Raw genomic sequence first — 23,349 nt, forward strand, 5'->3', positions numbered from 1 at the left:
AGCTGAGCAGCCTGGTATTGGTATAATAGCAGAAACATATTCCAATGGAACAGAATAGAAAGACCAGAAATAAATTCATGCATCTACAATCAATTGACTTATGACAAAGGCACCAAGAATGCACATTGGAGAAAAGATGATCTCTTCAATCAATGGCGCTGGGATAATTGGATATCCATACAGGAAGAATGAGACTAAATCATTACCTCTCACCATATTAAAAAATTAATTCAAAATGGATTAAAGACTTAAATGTAAAACTAAAAACTAGAATACTACTAGAAGAAATCAGGAAAACACTTTATGACATTTAACTGGGCAATGATTTTTAAAACAAGACTTTAAAAGTACAGTCAACAAGGCAAAAATAGACAAATGAGACTACATTAAACTAAAACGTTTTTGCACAGCAAAGAAAACTATTAACAGAATGAAAAGACAATCTATGGAATGGGAGAAAAATTTGCAAATTATAAATTATGCATCTGAAAAGTGGTTAATATCAAGGATATATAAGGAACTTAAGTCAAAAGCAAAACAACAACAACAACAACATAAGCCCCACAAGAAAACGCAGAAACACAAATAAAAACAAAAAACACAAGCAAAAAAAACCCCAAATAACCAGATTAAAAATGACAAAAAACTTTAATAGACATTTTTCAAAAGAAGACATATAAATGGCCAACAGATATATAAAAAATGCTCAAAATTATTTATCAGAGAAGTGCAAATCAAAACCACAGTGAGTTAGAATGGATAAGCCTCACTCCAGCTAGAATGGATATTATCAACAAGACAAAAACAAACAAACAAACAAAAATCCCCAAGTGTTGTCAAGGATGTGAAGAAAAGAAAACACACACTGTTGGTGGGATTGTAAACTAATACAGCCGCTGTGGAAAACAGTGTAGAGGTTCCTCAAAAAATTAAAAATAGATCCATAAACTTTAATGCTCCACTGACAGCACTAGACAGCTCATCTAGACAGAAAGTTAACAAAGAAACAATGGACTTGAACTATACCCCAGAACAAATGGATTTAACAGACATTTACAGAACATTCTACTCAACAACTGCAGAGTATACATTCTATTCATCAGCACATAGAACGTTTTTCAAGATAGTGCATATGATAAGCCACAAAACAGGCCTCAATAAATTTAAGAAAATTGAAATTATATACAGTACTTTCTCAGACCACAGTGGAAGAAAACTAGAAATCAACTCCAAAAGGAACCCTCAAAACCATGCAAATATGTGGAAGTTAAGTAACCTGTTCCTGAATGATTGTGGGGTCAGCAATGAAATCAAGTAGGAAATTAAAAATTTCTTTGAACTGAACTATAATATTGACACAACCTATCAAAACCTCTGGGATCCAGCAAAGGCAGTGCTAAGAGGAAAGTTCGTAGATTAAACGCCTACATCAAAAAGTCTGAAAGAGCACAAATAGACAATGTAAGGTCACACCTCAAGGAACTAGAGAAACAAGAACAATTGAAACCCAAACCCAGCAGAAGAAAAGAAATAGAGATCAGAGCAGAACTAAATGAAATTGGAACAAAATATACAAAAGATAAATGAAACAAAAAGTTGGTTCTTTGAAACGATAAATAAAATTGATAGGCCATTAGTGAGATTAACCAAGAAAAGAACCAAATAAGCTAAACTAGAAACGAAACAGGAAGTATTACAACAGATAACACAGAAATACAGAAGATCATTCAAGGCTACTATTAACACTTTTATGCACATAAACTAGATAACTTAGAGGAGATGGACAAAATCCTAGAAATATACAACCCTCCTAGATTAAACCAGGGAGAAATAGAAACTCTGAACCAACCAATAACAAGCAGAGAGATTGAAATTGTAATAAAAAATATTGCCAACAAAGAAAAGTCCAGGGCCAGATGGATTCACAGCTGAATTTCACAAAACGTTGAAAGAAGGGTTGGTACCAATCCTGTTGACACTATTCCACAAGAGAGAGAAAGAGAGAATCTTCCCCAATCATTCTCTGAAGCCAGTATCACCCTTATACTAAAATCAGGAAAGGACATAACCCAAGAAGAAAACTACAGACCAATATCCCTGATGAACACAGATGCAAAAATCCTCAACAAAATTCATATGGAACCAAAAAGAGCCGGCATAGCCAAAGCAAGACTAAGCAAAAAGAACAAATCTGGAGGTATCACATTACCTGACTTCAAACTGTACTATAAGGCTATAGTCACCAAAACAACATGGTACTGGTATAAAAATGTCACATAGACCAATGGAACAGAATAGATAACCTATAAATAAAGCCAAATACTTAACAGCCAATTGATCTTCGACAAAGCAAACTAAAACATAAAATGGGGAAAGGACACTCTATTCAACAAATGGGATAACTGGCAAGCCACATGTAGAAGAATGAAACTGGATCCTCCTCTCTCACCTTATAGAAAAATCAACTCAGGATGGATCAAAGACTTAAATCTGATACCTGAAACCATAAAATTTCTAGAAGATAACATCAGAAAAACCCTTTTAGACACTAGCTTAGGCAAAGACTTCATGACCAAGAACCCAAAAGCAAACGCAGCAAAAACAAAGATAAACAGATGGGACTTAATTAAACTAAAAAGCTTCTGCACAGCAAAAGAAACTATCAGCAGAGTTAACAGACAAATCACAGAGTGGGAGAAAATCTTTGCAGTCTATACATCTGACAAAGCACTAATATCCAGAATCTACAATGAACTCAAATCAGCAAGAAAAAAAAAACCAAACAATCCCATCAAAAAGTGGGCTAAGGACATGAATAGGAAATTATCAAAAGAAGATATACAAATGGCCAACAAACATGAAAAAAATGCTCAAATCACTAATGATTAGGGAAATGCAAATCAAAACCACCATGTGATACCACCTCACTCCTGCAAGAATGACCATAATCAAAAATTCAAAAAAATAATAGATATTGGTGTGGATTTGGTGAAAATGAAACACTTTTACACTGCAGGTGGGAAGGTAACTAGTACAGCTGCTATGGAAAACAGTGCAGAAATTCCTTAAGGAACTAAAAGTAGATCTACCGTTTGATCCAGCAATCCCACTACTGGGTATCTACCCAGAGTAAAAGAAGTCATTATACAAAAATGATACTTGCACACACGTTTATAGTGGCAGAATTTGCAATTGCAAAAATATGGAGCCAGCCAAAATGCCCATCAATCAATGAGTGGATAAAGAAACTGTGGTATATATACACCATGGAATACTACTCAGCCATAAAAAGGAATGAAATAAAGTCATTTGCAATAACCTGGATGGAATTGGAAACCACTATTCTAAGTGAAGTACCTCAGGAATGGAAAACCAAACATCATATGTTCTCGCTTATAAGTGGGAGCTAACCTATAAGGATGCAAAGGCACGAGAATGATACAATAGTCTTTGGGGACTCGGAGGAAAGCGTGAGAGGAGGGTGGGGCACACAAGACTACACATTGTGCACTGCTCAGGTGATGGGTGCACCAAAATCTCAGAAATTACCACTAAAGAACTTATTCATGTAACCAAACACCACCTGTTCCCCCAACAATTATTGAAATAAAACAAAATAGAACTACCATATAAACCAGCAACCCCATGACTGGGTATATATATGAAAAGGAAATAAAATCTGTATGTCAAAGAGATACCTGCATTCCCATGTTTATCGTAGTACTATTTACCATAGCCAAGATAAAGAATAAGCCTAAGTATCCAACAACAGATGAATGGTTAAAGAAAATGTGGTATATATACAATAGAATACTATTCAGCCTTATAAAAAGAAGAAAATCTTGTCATTTGCAAAAATGTGGATGAACCTGGAAGACATTATGCTAAGTAAAATAAGCCAGACACAAAAAGACAAATGCTGCATAATCTCACTCGTGTGGAATCTAAAAAAATAACGATATCACAGAAGCAGAAAGTAGAACAGTGGTTACCAGAGACTGGGAGAGGGGGAGAATAGGAAAAAGTTGGTTAATAATTCTGCTGTGCAATATAGAACACCAGAATTGATTCCTCCTACTTTAGGTTCTATATTGCACAGCAGAGTGTCTATGGTTAACAGTAAAATGTTGTATATTACAAAATGGCTAGGAGAGAGACTTTTGTATATTCTTGCCACAAAGAAATGATAAATGGATGAGGTGATGGATATACTAACTACTCTGATTGGGACATTAAACAACATAGATGTGTATCAAAACATCAAATCATAACCCATAAATATGTATAGTGAGTCCTCATTTAACATTGTTGGTAAGTTTTTGAATATTGAGACTTTCAGCAAAACAAAGCACAGGAAAACAAAACTCATTTTACCATAGACTGATATAAACAAGAATTAAGTCCCCACAGCATATAGTAAGTTGTTTCATTTAAAGTCACATTTTCCAAGAACCTATCGATGATGTTAAATGAAGACTTACTGTGCAATTAAAATGTATTGATTAAAAATTAAATACTTTTTTTTTAAAAAGGTAAAAATATCTGATGTACTCTTCAGGAAAACAGCAAAGGATAAAGGCTCATAAAGCTATAGAAATTCAGGAAGCGTGGTTTGGTTTGGAGATAAACAAATACATCTGATACAGCAAATATATCATGGATAGAAAACACTCCAACAGACCCATACTTGCATGGATATTTAAAATGTGGCAGAGGTGGATTATGGATTAGTGGTGAATCCACAAACTTTTCAATAAATTGTGCTAGGGAAACTGGATATTCATATGGAGAAAAAGAAATAAAATTTTTCCAATTATTGGAAATATTTACTTCCAATTTGCACCATCCACAAAAAATAAACTCCAGGTGGGTAGATTAAATATGCAATGTGAAAGACACACAGTAATGTTTTCAGATGATAACATGGAAAATATCTTTATTGCTAGTGGCTAAGGAAGAGTTTTTGAAACAAGATAAAATGACACTAATTATATTAATTAGGGTAAGATTGTATAGTAACAAATAGCCAAATTTTGGTGGCTTACAGATAAAAAAGTTTCTTTCTTTCTTTGTAACAATGAGGGAATGGTGTTTGGGTCAATTGTTAATGGGTATAAGCTGAAGACGATGCTTCTTTCTTCATCAGGTAGCTTTCCAAGGATAACCTGGGTGTGGCTGTTTCAGGCCACTAGACAAATAAAAAAGAGCATCGCAGAGCCCAAATATAATAGAAATTTTCTAAGGGCCAGACTTGAGAAAGGCTCATATTACTTCTGTTCACATCCCACTGGAGAGAACTTAGGCACATGGTCTTGCCTAACGGCAAGGTGGTCTGGGAAACTGTAGTGTAGCTCTGCTTCCATGAATAACAGAGAGATTTTGGTGGTCAGTGAACTACTCCACATTAATCATAAAATGAATACATATGCCTATATTAAAGTAACCAGAAAATAAAGAGAGCAAAAGACTAGCCAGCATGTGAGAGAAGTTAAATAAATAATATAAAGAACATATCTGGAATATATGAAAAACTGAGAAATCAATTGAAAAACCAGAAAAACTAATGGAAAAGTGGGCATAAGACTTGAACAAGCACTTCAGAAAAGAAAAAAATCCACCTCATTAGTATTCAGGAAGATACTATTGAATATCACAATGGGTTACCTATTTTTTCTTTCTCTCCCTCTTTCTATTGCTCTATCAATTAGAATAAGAGTATATATACTCAAGCTGATATATATATATATACATATATATAAAACAGTTTTTTATATATATATACATATATATAAAACAGTTTTTTATATATATATACATATATATAAAACAGTTTTTTATATATATACATATATATAAAACAGTTTTTTATATATATACATATATATAAAACAGTTTTTTATATATATATACATATATAAAACAGTTTTTTATATATATATACATATATAAAACAGTTTTTTATATATATACATATATAAAACAGTTTTTTATATATATACATATATAAAACAGTTTTTTATATATATACATATATAAAACAGTTTTTTATATATATACATATATATAAAACAGTTTTTTATATATATACATATATAAAAGTTTTTTATATATATGTATATATACATATATATGTATATATACATATACATATATATATGTGTATATATATATATATATATATATATACTCTCAGATAATATGAAGGGCTGTGAAGAGTGGGGCAATGATAACTCTTACACTGCTAGTGGGAGTGGGAGTTTTTTATACCCACATTGGAAAACAGTTTGACATCATGTAATGTAGTCCAAAATGGGCACACATTATGATCTAGCCATTCTCTTGCTAGGTCTAGATGCTAGGGGAGCTTTTGCACATTTACTGCAAGAGATAATATGAATGTTCACGGTAACATTGTTTGTATTGTTTTGGCTACCAAAGAAAAACATCCCACTTGTCTATTAATAGTAGAATGGATAAATCAATATTGGAATACTATAGAACATAAAAATGAATAAATTCTAGCTACTTAGAGCAATATAAATAAACCTTTCAAACTAATGAATAAGATAGGTAAATCACAAGAAATACAACATAATTCAGGAGAATAAAGCCTACAAAGTTTTCAAAGAAAATAAGTTTAATTCAGGAATTTTATACTTATTTATATCCATTTTGAGTATAAAAAATTGGAAACATAACTTTGAACATGGAAAGACTTATAATTTCCTTTATTATTATAAGGAACCCTGGCCATCAAAGAATTTGGAATACAACTCTCCATGATGTACTGGACTAGGGGTACTCTTAGTTATGCAAGCAAAACACCTAGTTCTCTTTTTCTTAATTTCGGGTTACATGTATGCAAAAATTAAAAAGTAGAAATGCGTAGCATATTGCTAGTTTTTAGAGTACCACATCTCATCTCAGGATAAATTACCTAAATTGGTGCTTCCAACTGAGAATGATGCAATGTTATAATGGTAGGTTCCTTAGAATATGAATGATACATATTTAACAGATTAAAGATTGTCTGATTGCTAATGTTTAATTTCCCAGTTTTGGTGGTGGCAGTCTTTTTTACAGACCTCCTTCAAAAAGACTGGTAATTCTAGTAATTTCTGACAGCTAGAAAATCTTCTAGGGAATTAAATGCCCAAACATTCAGGAGCTGACATACAAGGATGCCTATCTAAAGTGAAGAAGGGTACAGCCACCAAGTCCTTTAGTCCTTGTTTGTCTCAAGAAAACCCTTAACTTGATCCTTACTCCTGAGCATGTGGTTTTTCCCTTGGAAATTATACTGTGCTTGGATGTTTGTTATTTGGGGTGGTATCTGATTTGTATGCAGGGAACAGGAGCAAAGATGCTAGCCTAACTTAGGGGACTTAAGGAATAATGGCCCAGGAAGATCAGTGTGGAATAAATTTTGTACTCCAAAATAGCAAAGATCTATTTAGGGAAACCGGGCTTACTCAACATATCCAGGGGGCATGAGCAAATCTAGAAATAGGAGGTGAAATTCAGAGCTGAGTGGAAGCCAAGAGACCGGGAACAAAGTTGAGAATAAATTGAAGAAGGCCCCGAGTGATGCTGCAAACACAGTTTGTGCCTCTATTGAAGAACAGCTATGCAGAATCATGACCTTTCAGCCTGTCATAAAGTTAAAGGCCAGAGAAGACTTCCAGGAAATTGATATTGGTGGGATATAATTATCCTGATGGGAATAGGAGAAAGCTGTTGCAAAAATTGAGACTCGCAATGATGGTGTCTTGGAATGGAGAGCTGAGATCCTCGATGGGGAGAAGTGGTTTGACTTCAGCTATAGTTTGAAGCAGGCGATGACAGGATTTACTGATGGGTATGAGAAAGGAGAGTCCAGGAGAATTCCATTAGCTGAGACAGGAAAGATTGAGGGAAGAATATTTGAAGTGTCTGGTGGAAATTAGGGGTTTGGTTTTGAATACGTTAAGTTTAGCATGTCTGAAAAACATCTATGTGGAGATGTTTCTTTCAGCAGGAGGCTTAACAAACAACAGCTGTGGTAGCTGTTACTTTTCATCACCTTGACATTCAGTGACATAAATCCCTGAAAGTTGGAACCTGCTAACATGTCTCAGAAGACAGAATCCTTACCCACCAAAAGCTGCTCACATTCAGGTTTCCCTTTCCAAATAAACTCTAATATTCATTCTATTTGGTTCCTTTTTTTGGCTTTGCTTCTCATCCTGAATTCAAACAAGTGACTAATCAGGAAGCTCAAAGACCCTCTATCTCCATTGCTAATTCTATTGGCTCATTCAGTCATTAAACATGTTTACTACGCACTGATTATAAGTGTAAAAAACAGGTCTCAATTGCCCATATAGGTGACCTCAATAATACCCCTTATATTGGCATGTCCTCCTTCTCTTTCTCGGTCTCCCAAACTCCTCACTCCCCTTTGGGGATGTAGGTCTCAGGCTCTACTTTTGTAAGCAGATAATCTGTGCCATTCAAGCAACGGTCAACAATGAACTATAATGAACTATCAAAGCCATAATGGACAGTCCGCTTCACCTGGACATGTGGGGATGGCATTAATGGCAGCCACATAGTGTGTGTCCTTGTCAATCAGATTATTGCTCGCTTTGCGTAGAGCCTCCACTGGCTTCACGTTGTACCCAGGGTTAGATCCATGACCTCCCTCCCAACAATTGCCACTCTCCCATCCACTACAATCTAGCAACACGGACCTGCCTTTGCTTTCTGCTCCTTTAATATGCCCCTTGCTCCCATGTCAGGGCCTCTAGACTTGCTGTTCCCTCTGCCTGGAATGCTTTCCCCTACATCTTTGCATAGCTGATTCATGCTTATCAAAGTCAGCTAAAATGTCAGCATTTTAGAGAAATCTTCTCTGATGTCCTTTACTGAAGGCAGTGGCCTTGTTTTTCTTGTCTGTTGCTGTGTGTTCATTGCTCATCCCAATGCCTAGGTAAGTGTATGTCACCAGATGGCCCTTGTAGCAGGTGCATTTAGAGCTCTGCTCACATCCTCTCAGCACTCACCTCTACATGCTGGAGGTGACTTTGCTGACACCTGCCACTCTCCTTGGGGCTTTTTTGACTGAAGGTACCCACTAGACTCAGGAACAGGGCAAGTCAGAAATGCCAAAGAGTTAATGCTGGAGAAGCAACTCTCAAGCATGGGGGGTTGTGTATAAATACCCTGGCTTCCTTGCCCCTTGGGTAGAGTAACTCTGAGGAATGTATTACGCACTGTCTCCAGGAGTTTTCCAGTTAGATTAAGCTCCAGGTGCCCACAGAGGTAACTTGCCTAAGAACATAATATTTATTCACTTCCTTTTTTTTTTTGCTACCTCATTTTCCCATTCTGCCCAGTGCTTCTTGGGATTGCCTCCCAGTGAATCAACGTGCACTTGGACGCTTTCTCACATCCCTTTGCTTCTGGGAAATCTAGCCTCAGACAACCCTCAATAAATGAAAAAATGTCCAAGTATTTATATTCAAATAGTACTTACTGCCTGGAAGTCACCAGGAGTTTGATTCATAGTGTCATAGTTTTTTCCCCCACATTACACATTCAGTCAGTATGCTTTTTAATTCTGGCTCTCACAGGGAAAGCATACAATAACATATGTTGGGTATGTTGTTTAACGTTCACAGCAAAGACTTACTATGTGCTTTTTGGTTTGAGGATTTTTGAGTAAGTGGTGGAGACATTTTTGATGTCACCCCAAGTTCTGCTGAGCAGAAGTGATAAGAATGTCTCTCTATGAAGCTCCACCAATAGAATGCATTGAGTCAGAAAATTTCATAACCTTCCATAAACAAAGAACAAGGTCCTAAGTGAAGGGAAAACAGGAAGCGATATGAGGAGGAATTTGTTTACCATGATTTCAACAACACTGGAATTTATTTTTATCAAAATGAAACCATGGGTAAGTCAACAAGGCTGGGCAAAGCCCAGAGACTGTGAGGTCCTAGATTCCCAACCGGGACACTATGAACTCAAGGAATTCAAATACATTTTGATTTTTCTAGAAATTGCTCAATGTTTCTCACATGAGTCTCGGTTTCTTTTACTTTTCTTTTTGAATTTCAAATATTTTCTTTTTGAAAACATAACATATCAAAGAGAGTTTTCAAGAACCCAGATTTAAACTTTAAAGCCAAATTTCTGTAAGGTCACCCAACATTTTATCTTACAATGACCAACACCTGGAGTATAAATGATCCCCATCATTGTGCCTCCTTTTGTTAGCCTTGTTAGAGAAGGCAGCAGAGTTCTGAACTAGTTTCTTGTTTCCTTAATGTTTAGACAGGGGACAAAGCCCTCTGTATCTATAGAGGCCAGTGGTCTGGAGACCATGGACAACAAGACATTGTATCTTTGTGTCTTGTGGGAAGCAGGGAGGGTGGAGCAGTGTTGCTGACTTTTTAAGACAAGCTAAAAACCTGGATTTTCCTATAAAATTTCCCCAATTTGAATGTTTTAAAATCATCGTGTAGGCTGGGCATGGTGGTTCACACCTGTAGTCCCAGTACTTTGAGAGGCCGAGGCAGAAGGGTGCCTTGAGCCCAAGAGTTCAAAACCAGCCTGGGCAACATAGTGAGACCTCATCTCTACAAAAAATGAACAATTTAGCTGGGTGTGGTGGCATGCACCTGTAGTCCTAGCTACTCAGGAAGCTGGGGGGAGGATCGCCTTAAGCACAGGAGGTTGAGGCTGCAGAAAGCCAATATCATGCCACTGTATTCCAGCCTGTGCAACAGAGTAAGACTCTATCTCGAAATAATAAAATAAAATAAAATAAAATCACTGTGTAAAAAAAAAGTCTCCATTTTAAAGCTTGATTTTACACTTCTATTTGAAGAACTTGAGGCTACTTTGGCACTATAATAAATGAAAGGGTTCCCCTGTAATGGAAGCACCACCAGAGATCCTGTGCTGAGATTTATTGCCTTGCTATTTAAAGAGTGGTCTCTGGCCAGCTGTATCAGTATCAGCTGGGAACTCATTAGTGACACAGACTCTCAGGCCTATGCAGATCCACTGAATCGGACCCTGCTGTCTAACAAGCTCCCCAGAGGATTCATGTGCACGTTAAAATTTGAGAAACATTGATTGAGTTTGCCTCTTCAGGAAAAAAGAAAAAAATCAGACTCTAAATGCAGAAGCTACAATTTATGTCTCACATGGAGAGAGAGGAAAAAGAATACTATGGAAGTCATAGACACTTATAATTAGTAATAGCTAGCTAAATATTTAAAAAGTGGCTTATTAATAAGGAGTTGCATATTCTCTGTTTGGATATCCAGTTGGTTGTCTATATTCATGGCTTCTGGCATCCATGGATTCAAGGAACCACTGACTGAAAATATTTGGAAAATAAAAAGTATTTGTGCTGAACATGTACAGACTTTTTTTGGTTATTATTCCCTAAACAATATAGTATGACAATTATTTATATAGGATTTGCATTGTATTATGTATTGTAAGTATCTAGAAATTATTTAAAGTAGGGAGGATGTGTGTAGGTTATATGCAAATAATGTTGCATTTTATATAAGGGATTTGAGCATATGCAGGTTTTGTTATCTGCAGTGGGTCTAGAGTCAATGCCCCTACAGGTAGTGAGGAATGACTATATTTAGTCAATTTGTTGAGGCATGCAATTGATTAGGGCAGCCTCTCTCAATATTTTCAGCCAAAGTCTGTATTTCCAGTAATAACAGGATTTTTATATTTGGGTTATGCTGTCAATTACATGTATTAAGAATCTATTTTGTGCATGCTACTGTTCTGAGCACTGGGCCCAGGGATGAATAAGGCACAGCTTCTATCTCAAAGCACTTAGTATCTTGATGACAAGACATGCCCAGAGCAGCCACAGAAGCATAAATAGCATGGGGAATGCAGTACTAGGAGGCTGAGTTGGCCAAGTGCCCAATAATTGATCTTTGTCATGATCATTCAACACAATATTGTACTTACTTTTTTTGATTTGAATATTTATTTGCTTAATATCTGTCTACAATTCCACACTGAAAGCATTATGCCTGCAAGGACCAATATTAATTGAATGATTTGCCCATTGCTTACTTCCATATTTACATATAGCTCTCTACACAGGGAAGGGGAATGTAAAAGAAAAATTATAGGCAACTTTGCATGACATGCTTGAGTCATTTCCTGTTAATGTTTTCTTTCTCTATAAATAATATATGCAAATAAAACTAACTGAATTATTTTACAGAACCCCTGCACTTCTGAGGTTTTACACACTACTCCTCACTTCCTCCAATTCCTCTGTCCCTTAACCCCAGCCCTAGGCAACTTCGAATCTATTTCCTGACCCTAGGGATGTGCCGATTCTAAACATTTAAAATAAATGGAATGATAAAATATGTGGTTCCTTGCGACTGGCTCTTTTCACTTAGCACAATGTTTTGGAAGCTCACTAAATTTTGTTTTCATTCTGCATTTCTTTGAAATAGAAAAAAAGAAACTTAGGCTAAGGAAGATATTAAAATATTACAGAAGTACAAGTGACTCCCAAAGCTTGAGCTACATCATGCTTTTGTTTATAAATGTAGAAACACATGTGTTCCTTCTGTTTCTCTTTCAGCTGTCTTGAACCAAGTTTTTATTGGGTGTTTGGTGGGGCTTATGTGAGAACTGGATGGCCCTAGGAAAAACTGAGAAATGTATGTTTATTTTCCATGCCTCTTCTTTCCAATTTTTATATCCTCCTCTTCTCCTTAGATATCCAATATTCTAATGGTACATCTTTACCCTACAGTATTACATTCTGAAAATGAATGGCAAAGTTAGTTAAACCTGTTAAATAACATTTTAATTCCCATAGCGGGCTTCTATTTTCCCACCTAAAGGAGAGACTAATGGTAAACATTTCAGGAAGACGGGGAAATGGGCAACTATTTTTGGTTAAGAACAATTTTCTAGACATTTGTTGAGAGCTTGTCAGGTGTTAGGCAAGTGCCGTATCAAAGAGGTAAAGTAATGCCCAAGACACACAGCTATTAAGTGGTGAAAGCAGAATTTGAACGGTTCTTCCTGATTACAGAACCTCAGTGCTTAATTATTGTGGTATACAGCCTCCTCGATGCTTGTTAGTCACCCTATAAATTCCTCAGCCAACGACCATTCCATCTTGCCCTTCCTAAAGCAAACACAGTATGTATCATTTGATATTTATTCTGTCTTTTGGCATTCTTTCTAGAGAGGATGTTATCAATTCTGTAAGTTGTAGTTTCTGTTGGTCATTTAAAAATATGAAAGTCAACATTTTGTTTGTAAATTCCCTTTTCTACTTACTAGAAAACTCTAGATCTGAGTTTTCAAGATGTAGTAACCTGTATCTGTATTATATTGCATGGAGAACATAACTACTATCACTAGAGAGGGTTCAGTTCTTTAATTTGATGAAAATGTCAGGCTAAAGTGGAATGAGAACTTATTCAACTTAACAAGCATCCATTGACTTTCTAATCAAGAAATGCTAAAGGGAGTTCTTCAACTTGAAATGTAAACAGGAACATGAAGCATGAGAAAGTATAAAACTCATTGCTAATGGTAAATATATAGACAAATGTAGAATATTCTATTAGTGTAACAGTGGTGGGCAAATCACTTTTAATTCTAGTATACTAATTAAAAGATAAAAGTATTAAATATAGTAATGTTAAGAGATACACAATACAAGTAGATGTAAATTGTGCCATCAATAACGAAGTGTAAAGAGGGCATAATAAGAAGTGTAGAGTTGGATGTGATTGAACTTAAGTTGTTATCAGCTTAAAATAAACTCAACAGGGAAGACAACGGCATGGGAAACCTTTCAGTGTCTCGCTAAGTGGGTGCTAGAAAGGACTTATGGGATTTTAGCTTGTGCTGGGTGATCTTAGGAAGGGTTTAAGGAAGGAGAGCTTTGCTTTTAAGTAGAGGCTGTTGGGAAGCAATTTTATGATTTGGTACAGAGATAGTTCTATGATTGGGTATCTTCATGATCCTATTTAGAAGGCAAAAGAAATGATATGAGGCTAACACTGTTAACTGGTGAAGAATCAGCAGACATTCGTATTAGCCAGGATATAGGAGTATTTAGTCATTATGCTGGCTTGGACAGTATTTATGCTTTTATCTGTGCTTACATGTGTTTATGGAGTGGTCTTGTTTTTTTCTTGATCCATCATGGTCACAGAGTGGATTTATCTGATCTTGGTGTTCTGGGAAATTTTGTATGTGTGACAGGACAGAATAATGACATAGCTGGGGACACAAGGCCAGTTCCTCAACACCAAGGCTGGCTGGCAGGGGCTTTTTCTCTTTCTCACCATGCACTTAGTTTTGCAATGTCAAGAGTTGAGGAGAACTGAGTTTTATTTTAGTCCTTCAATTTATTTGCTACTAGCTGTTTAACTTGAGAAAACTCACACAGTATCAGAGCTTTAGTTTCCTTATACCCATAAGCTTTAGCTTCCTGATAATATGTTTCCTTAAATGGGAATAATAAAAACCACCTTGATGGTTTATTGAAAGGATAAAAGAAAATGTAGGAAAATCTCCCAGCTCTTCACCTTTCAGAAAATATTCCAATTTGATAAATGATTGAGGGAAGATTGTCTCCATTTTTGTACTATTAAGATGTCATTCAATGAAATTGCGTATTTATTGAGGACTTCTGACATAGCAATCTGGGTGTCACGTGGCCGTGCGATAGTTACAGTCCCCAAGGTGGCCTTAGCCATGAGAGTGTATCATGGGTTCATACTGTGCGTTCTTCTCATATGGGAGTCTGGGGCCTACCTACTTCATAGGAAGTGTGCCTCAAAAGTCTCATTTCTCAGATTTCTCCCTTCAGTTCTGTACTGCCCATCTCCACCACCTAAAGGTATAAATCTATGGGTTGTCGTCTTTGTACCTTACATGTCGGTTCTGACATTTGGATGCATATTAGAATCAACTGGAGGGTTTTAAGAAACACTGATGTCTAGATTCCACCCCCAGGGACTCTAACTCACTGATTTTGGCTGAGGGTAGTTAGTCATTGAGATTTTAAAGAGTTTTTCAGATAATTCTAACAGGCAGCAGAGTTTGACAGCCATTGCTATAAACAGTGTTTCTCAAACTTTAATGTACTTATGAGTCATTTAGGGAATCTTGTTAAAATGCAGATTTTTTATTAAATTTAAAATGCAAAATAAAAATTCAGATTCGTAATACATTTAAAAGTTAAAATGCAGGCCTAGGAGTCTGCATTTCTGGCCAACTCCCAGATGATGTCAGTGCTGCTGGTCCAAGGACCACACTTTGAGTAATAAGGCTAGATACATCTGTTCTCACTTAGCCTTGTAGAACAGTCTATAAAATTTGTAATGGTGTGTCAGGTGGGATCTTTTAATGGAATAAGCTAGAGGGAAGGAGGGAGGAATATAGTCATATGGACTTGCACTTCCACTGTCAAAAGAACACATTCAACAGTTGGAATTTGCTATATGTATGTTGAGGATTTGTTACTATAGGTGACAAGACTGTGTGTCTGTACCTATGAAGATCAAATTCTTATATTCCTCGTTGTAATAAGCCTCCTAAAACAACTTCAGTTTCAAAAACAGAAAATATAGTGGGGAGGGAGATGGACAAGATAAGTTTTTATATTACGTCCTATGTTTCACATTTCTACACTTCAACCTAACTATGCTGTAAAAATCCAGAGCTTGACATCCTATTCCCTGCTAAGCTCACCTAACGGGGTTTTAACCAGCAAAAGGATGCCCTCACTACCTGGATAGACATGCAAAGGAAGCACTAGTGCTGTGTGGTGTCTCCTGCTCCCTTTGTAGAGTCTTTGTGAAAGAAGTGTGGGGTAAGAGCTTTGTAATATTTAGGTGCTGTCTGTAAGAAAGGACTTGTTTTACTTTTTAATGGAACTTGGAAGGAAATATAGAGTTGTAGGTGGCTGGATCCATTTCTAGGCTTTGCCAGTCCCCATTCTTACAAAAAAGCATTGACCCATGATGAAGAGCCTTAAGGCACTTACTTGGAGATGCACATGATGATACTAGCTGTGCCTGGGTCATCTTAAGGCCGACTGCACCTTCCTCCAGCTTAAAGAATTTATAAGATGCTTCTTTGGGCATGCCTAGGAAAAGCACAGGCCTTGATTGACCAGGTTAAATGGAGGGGCCTAAGCATTACAGATAATTATGGAAGGAGCTTTAAGGAAAATAAGCTTAGTTGGTGATAAAACAATGATAAATAGAGACTACTAGCTATAAGACGATCTGTCTCTTATGACTGAGAGTTCTAGGAGGACCAGGTAAATTCAGACTTGATACGGTGAAAGGGATTGGATTTGGTTTTCCTAATAGATTCTGGAAATAAAATTAGTGACTTGGTCTTTTTTACTATCTCCTCATCTTAGTTCCTCTCCAGAAAGAAATAGGTGGGACAGAGATGTTAAAGAAGAAGAAACTGTGCTACAGAGAAGGTGGAAACTAAGACATAAGTGGAGATTAGAACTTGGCTGTTTGGCCCCAGGGCTTTTCTCACTAGACTATGATGTAGTATTTCAAGACAGCATGAGTAATGGGCAATGAACATGACAAACTTATGTTGTGCAAGGAGTAACATTTGAGAAGCTTAGGTTCCAGCTGGGCATGGCTTTACTGCCTGCTAATTTTCCCTAGCTAAAAGCACAGCAATTTGTAATAGTTGAATCAGCCCTCTAATCTGAGTCAAACATCAGTTGCTTTCTTTGTATATCTGCTCCCTAGGATCACAAATGCTAGCTTTCATATGGATTTCAAGCTGGGTGAAATGACTTTTTTTGCTTGTAAAGAAGAAATGATGATGGAGGTCTCATCAGGAAGTGATGCAGAAGACTGGGACAGGTGAGTAAGCACCACTGGCAGAGTTAATTCTGGCTGCCATGCAACTCCGTAGTAAGTGTCAGTAGCAAAGCTGAAGTCAAACATTGTTTACTCCTCTGCTAAGGCTCTGCAAATCGGTAAAGATACCCAAATGCACATTCCCTGCATGGTCATCAGAAACATATATTTTTTATTGACAAGGCTTAGCAGATCTTAGCCATTGACTGAAGTGTAATTTAGATGGATGAGCTATTCTGCTGAAGAGTGCTACTAGTCTTCTCTAAGCAGTAGTGCAAAACTGCAGGGACTAGGAAAGGGCTAGATCCGTGCAAAGAAGGAAGGAAACACCTGAAGGCTCGTGATGCAAAAAGTAATTACTATGCTTAACAGGGAGTATCACCCCGCTTATTTACAGTCAGGGTAATTGAAATTTCATGTTTGGCATTTCCCAAGATTTCACAGTGCAGAATCAATCTACCAAAAGCTTTCATGTATACCATATCAATTAATCAGTCGGTATCAGCTTGGTACCTAATATACACTCAATGGTTCAGTCAGACGGACTATATGGACACATACTGAAATCGCTATGAAAATGAAAATTAAAACTTTGGTCCTTTAAAAATAATACAAAATGCTTTTTTCAGGACCCAAAATAAAATAAGTAAAAACCAAAGAAAATGTTCTAAGGAGTTAAAATGGAATGGCAAGGCCTAATTCAATAATCATTAATCCCAGTGAGTTTTAGGCATCTTTAGAATCAGAATATGGTTTTCAAGAGAAATATTAGAAGGAAGGCTAATATTTGAAAAGTGAGATGATTGAAGTAGCCCTGGCAGAGGCAGGGATGGGACTATATCCTAGCATCTTCTCCCCTTCATCTTCACCTTCTTCTCCTATGTACTCTGTTTCCTTTCGTGCATATAGTTCAGCACCATAAGGACCTCTTGATTCTGTGTATGACTTGCAAAGCAGTTTGGGAATGTCTATTTTGGCTTGATTCTTCCATTTAACAAATTGGTAAACTGAGACACAGACTTTGTTTAAAATGACAGGACAAGTTAACAATAGAACCAAGAACAGAGCTCAGGTCTCTAACGCCCAGCCCTGAGAGTCCACGCCCCACGCCAGGTGACTTCCCCTGAAAAAATAGACCAAGGAATAAGAAGCTATATTCCTGGCTGGGCGCAGTGGCTCACGCCTGTATTCCCAGCACTTTGGGAGGCCAAGGTGGGTGGATCACCTGAGGTCAGGAGTTCAAGACTGGCCTGGCCAATGTGGTGAAATCTCGTCTCTACTAAAAATATAAAAATTAGCCAGGCTTAGTGCTGAGTGCCTGTAATCCCAGTTACTTGGGAAGCTGAGGCAGGAGAATCACTTGAACCCAGGAGGCGGAGGTTGCAGTGAGCCGAGATTGCACCATTGCACTCCAGCCTGGGCAACAAGAGTAAAACTCTGTCTCAAAAAAAAAAAAAAAAAAAGGGAATAACTCTTAAGGACTAACCAAATCCTTAAGTTCACTTTGTGTATGGCTCTACATTGATTTCGCCTTGTTAGATGTCTATCTGATTCAAGGACTGCGCTTGATCATGTACCTAATACTTCTCCTCACTCGGAAGTTGATAGAGTACATGATTGTTCTTTGATGTTGTGATTTAACATTTTCTTCCTCTGTCATCTGACTGTCCAAAGTCTCCATTTTAGATTGTAACTCTTGGATGGCTGGCAGAGTGTCTAGCCGTCTAGCAGTTTCTCTTTGTCTCATATACATTTTGGAGTCAGGGTGCTTTTTGAGCATGATGGTAATGATTCTAACCTGACATGCCATGCACTGGGTCTGACTCATGAAGACACAGGAGCTGGGCTGTAACATTTCACCAGGTTTTGTGATGTGGGGTAAAGGAAAGAAGGGATGGGAGGATGACTACTGGAATGCAACTTTTACTCCTCTCCTACCTCATCTTGTTGATGTCACAGCCTGGAAAATGCTGTGCCTTGCATTATTTTTGAACATATAATTTGTATGCCTTTCATGTGTATATTGATGAAAAAAAGTTTGCGCTCCATCCTTGCACTGGAGGTTTTTTGCTATGGCCCACTGGTGTTTAGCTGGGAAATGAAGTATACAAAGAACCTAATGGATTTGGGCAATTCCTTTTATAGGAGACATAAAAACAAGGTGAGTATATCTGGGCAGTAAATCCTAAAGTTTCATTTAGCCCCCTGCCACCCACTTAAATCAATTCCTCTATCCAAACAGGCATAATTTCCTATTATTTTAGCCTTTATCTTCTCATAGTCTTTTTCATACCCATTGCCAATATCCTGATTCTTACTCAACGCAGTAAGTCTCATAACTGGTTTCCCCATGTTTAATATTTTGAATCTAATCTATTTTTCAATTTGTTATTTGAATATTGTTATAAATACAAATTGAATTCCAAGTATGAATAAACAGAGAATATAATAAAGAATGATCTCTAATTAGAGATTCTGAATTATTATAATCTAAGCCCCTAAAGTAAACCATAGATTTAAAATGATTTTTATAGTACTGATATTTTCTCTATTTTGTTATGTGTAAATGTAATAAAAATTTGTATTGAAAATAATAACCCAGGTTCTTATGAAGAACACATGATGGTGAAGAAAGGACCCAACAATGATGTCATTTTTTTTTTAACATTATCAACACTTTGTGGCCGTTTTAAAGCCATGTTTGCAAGTAAGTAAGTGTATGCCCCATGGACTCCATTCTTTTCCCTAAAGAGCCTGTGGACTGGGTGAGAACCTCTCATGCCATGGGGAAGAAGCCTTCTTTCATTTCTCTGTCATGCAGGAATGAAAGATGTGAGCCTTGGACTTACAAATGAGGCTGCTCTGTGTGTGGTGGGGGGATGGGTGGTTCTCAGTGATTCTTTCATTTTTCATCAGGTCCTAGACCTCAGTCTTCACCTCCGGCCCCAGGCCCTTTGTTCCCCTCACCTCAGTCTCAGAAATGGTCACATTCTACAGTTCTTGATGATGAGCTTTCTCTGGAGCAATGGGGGTACCCGCCAAACCCTTTCTTCTCCAATGAAACCTGTGTGTCCAAGACAAGGAAACCTCACACACTGCTTTGTGAACTAGACAAGAAGGGAATAGGTGAGCAGACGCTGTAGCAAAGTGACTCTGCCCTGGTGTGAGATGGTGGGAAAGGGGGTAGTCTGAGCCTGGGCTTAGCTTTAACTCTGAGGGTAAGGGCCTGCACCCCAGGCATACACAGCAGTCATCTGTTCTCTCTTCTGTGTATTTACTTCTTGGAGTATGGTTGGATTTTAATGAATGTGAAAATCTGGTGATTATTAATTTGAAGAAATCTTCGGCTTAGACCAGCAAAAGAGATGTGAGATATGAGTATTACAAATCAAAGGTTTAATGCTTAGCCTGAAGTTTTCTGTGAGAACTATGAGAACTTTGACATGTACAAAGTATCCACAGACAAAGAGGGGAAGAAGCTAAGTCCAAGTGGAGCTCTGGAAGTTTCTGTTTCTAGCCTCTGGCTGGCTTCTGTAGACGATAAGATGTGAGACATCATTTCTTTCTCCCAATGTAGGCCTTAGCTATAGAGTTCATTTACCTTATATTTATTTTTAATTTCCCACTCCATGTAGCATGCAGTGTATACATATTCTCCTCAACTTAAGATGGGGTTGCATCCTGATAAACTCATCATAAATTGAAAATGTGGTAAGTAAAAAATGCATGCTGGGTTCAGTGGCTCACACCTGTAATCTGACTTTTGGAGGCTGAGGCTGGAGGATTTCTTGAGCCCAGGAATTTGAGACTGCAATGAGCTAACTTTGTGCCACTGCACTCCAGCCTGGGCACCAGAGAAAGGCTGTCTCTTAAAAAAATAAAAATGAAAAAAAAAATTAAAAAGAATGCATTTGATGTATCATAGTCTAACCTACCTTAAACATGCTCAGAACACTTACATTAGCCTATAGCTGGGCAAAATAATCTAGCACACAGCCTATTGTATAATAAAGTGTTGGACATGTTATGTCAGGGGTCCCCAAGTCCTCAGGCCATGGAGGTACTGGTCCATGGCCTTTTAGGAATGGGCCACAAAACAGGAGGTGAGTGGCAGGCGAGAGAGTGAAGTTTCATCTGTATTTACAGAGGCTTCCCATAGCTCACATTACTGCCTGAGTCAGCCTTCTGTCAGATCAGCGGCTGGCAGGACTGATTTTCATCGTGGCGCAAACCGTATTGTGAACTGCACATGCCAGGGAACTCTATTAGATTCTCATAGAAGCACAAACCTTATTGTGAACTGCTCATGTGAGGAATCCAGGTTGTGCAGTCCTTATGAGAATCTAATGCCTGATGATCTGTGACTGTCTCCCCTAAAATAAATCATAGATTTAAAATGGTGGAACCATCTGGTTGCAGGAAAACAAGACCAGGGCTCCCACTGATTCTACATTATGATGAATTATATAATTATATCATTACATATTATTTTACAATGTAACAATAATAGAAATAAAGTGCACAATAAATGTAATGTGCTTGGATCATACCCCAAACTACCCCCCGCCCCCCCCATCACGCCCCCTGGTTCATGGAAAAGTTGTCTTCTACAAAACCTGTCCCTGGTGTCAGAAAGGTTGGGGCCTGCTGTCTTATGTAATTTATTGAGTACTCTGCTGAAAATGAAAGACAGATTGGTTGTATGGGCATAATTGTGAAGTTGAAAAATCATAAGTCAAATCATCGTAAGGTGGGGGCCGTCTGCATTCTGGTAGAAATAAGTAAATGCTAATTATACTTGACTTTTCAGAGGGGGCTGGCATGAGAGAAAAAGCAAAAGAGAAAGAGAGACAGGAGTTAATATAATACCTGTTATTTGAACAAACTAATTTATCATAAGAAATAGTAATTAAGGTAAAATGGAACAAAGTTACTCAACTTCAAAAAAAACAGTTTTAATTACAGGTATTAGTTCCTAAAATTATCCTATCAGAAAAAAAAACAGATATGAAAAATGTGAAGTGTTTGGAGTTTTAGAGTTTTCATTAATTTTAAGCTAATATTTTAATTTGAGAATCCATTGACTACCTACCACAAAATATTAAAAGAATATCCTACTGATACTTCCTCTGATTCCATTTCCCTTCATCATCTAAATTCTTGTGAATTATATTTTAGAGTCAAGGTTTTGAACACTAATATTCTCCTCTTTATAAATTCTCATTCTACTTTTTTTTGTTTGTTTGGTTTTTGTTCCTATGCGTTAACTTCCTAGGCTGTAAATTTGGTTTGGAATGGTACAAATCTCATATGGAAGTTTGTAAGGGTAAAATCAATTATTCTCTATAAATCACTCACAACAGTACCTGGCACTGTTAGCCATTTTTACTTTTTTGAATTATATTTTAGAGTCAAGGTTTTGAACACTAATATTCTCCTCTTTATAAATTCTCATTCTACTTTTTTTTGTTTGTTTGGTTTTTGTTCCTATGTGCTAACTTCCTAGGCTGTAAATTTGGTTTGGAATGGTACAAATCTCATATGGAAGTTTGTAAGGGTAAAATCAATTATTCTCTATAAATCACTCACAACAGTAGCTGGCACTGTTAGCCATTTTTACTTTTTCTGGTATAAATTACCAAACTCATATGTAAGGCGTGGCCAAGTGCTACGGTGAAATCATCATCAGAGCCACTTCACTCTCAAATTTTATATTTTTGAACTTAAATGTCTCTCTTTCCAAGTTAGCACTCATCTTTCTCTTTCTTAATAAAGTCTGTTTGAACTCACTATGATCCTTTAGAAAACCAGCTATGGTTCCAGGCCATTGTGGGTGACCTACATTCCTTTGTTTAATTGAGCAGATATTGATGGACTCATACTCTGTTGAACATATATGCTATCTGCCCCATATTTTGTAATTTTCTTTATTATATCAAAAGCCACAGCCACCTCTTTTTGATTGAGATGAGTGTTTCTGATTTACATTTCCATTCATTTATTTATTCAACAATCTCTTATTAGGCATCTACTATGTACAAAAAATCACTTTTAAAACACTGTAGGAACTGTAATGAAGAATAAAATTTTGTCTTGTTCTTCGAGGATCTTATGAAAAGAGTGGACAAGGTAGTTTTGTAAACAACCCACTGGAATGCAAGGCAGAATGAAATATTGTAGCTTTCTCAGGAAGATAGAAACTCTAAGTGTTGTTGAAACTAAAAGGAGCAATCTGGGAGAAGATAGAACCAGGAATTAGAGAGACATTTGGGAACAGACCCAGATCCAGTAACGGGGATCATCAGCCAGGCATATTGTAACACATTCTATGGCTATACTCAGTGAAGACTCAAAATACACATGGAATGAGCTGAACACAAAAGGAAGGTCATTATATGGCACTTCATGCATGCAAAGTATCTTCTCACATCAATGA

General features: G+C 37.0%; 1 long non-coding RNA gene across 1 annotated transcript in view; it reads left to right on the plus strand.

Annotated features, from left to right (window-relative positions):
• CASC20 (cancer susceptibility 20) overlaps positions 1-23,349 on the plus strand; it is a 101,728-nt gene that overhangs the window by 30,008 nt on the left and 48,371 nt on the right. Inside the window, exon 3 of the long non-coding RNA NR_109953.1 lies at positions 16,800-16,916. This is a non-coding gene — a long non-coding RNA (cancer susceptibility 20). The remainder of the gene's footprint in view (positions 1-16,799; positions 16,917-23,349) is intronic.

The sequence above is a fragment of the Homo sapiens genome, chromosome 20 (genome assembly GCF_000001405.40).
Source record: "Homo sapiens chromosome 20, GRCh38.p14 Primary Assembly".
Lineage (NCBI taxonomy): Eukaryota > Metazoa > Chordata > Mammalia > Primates > Hominidae > Homo > Homo sapiens.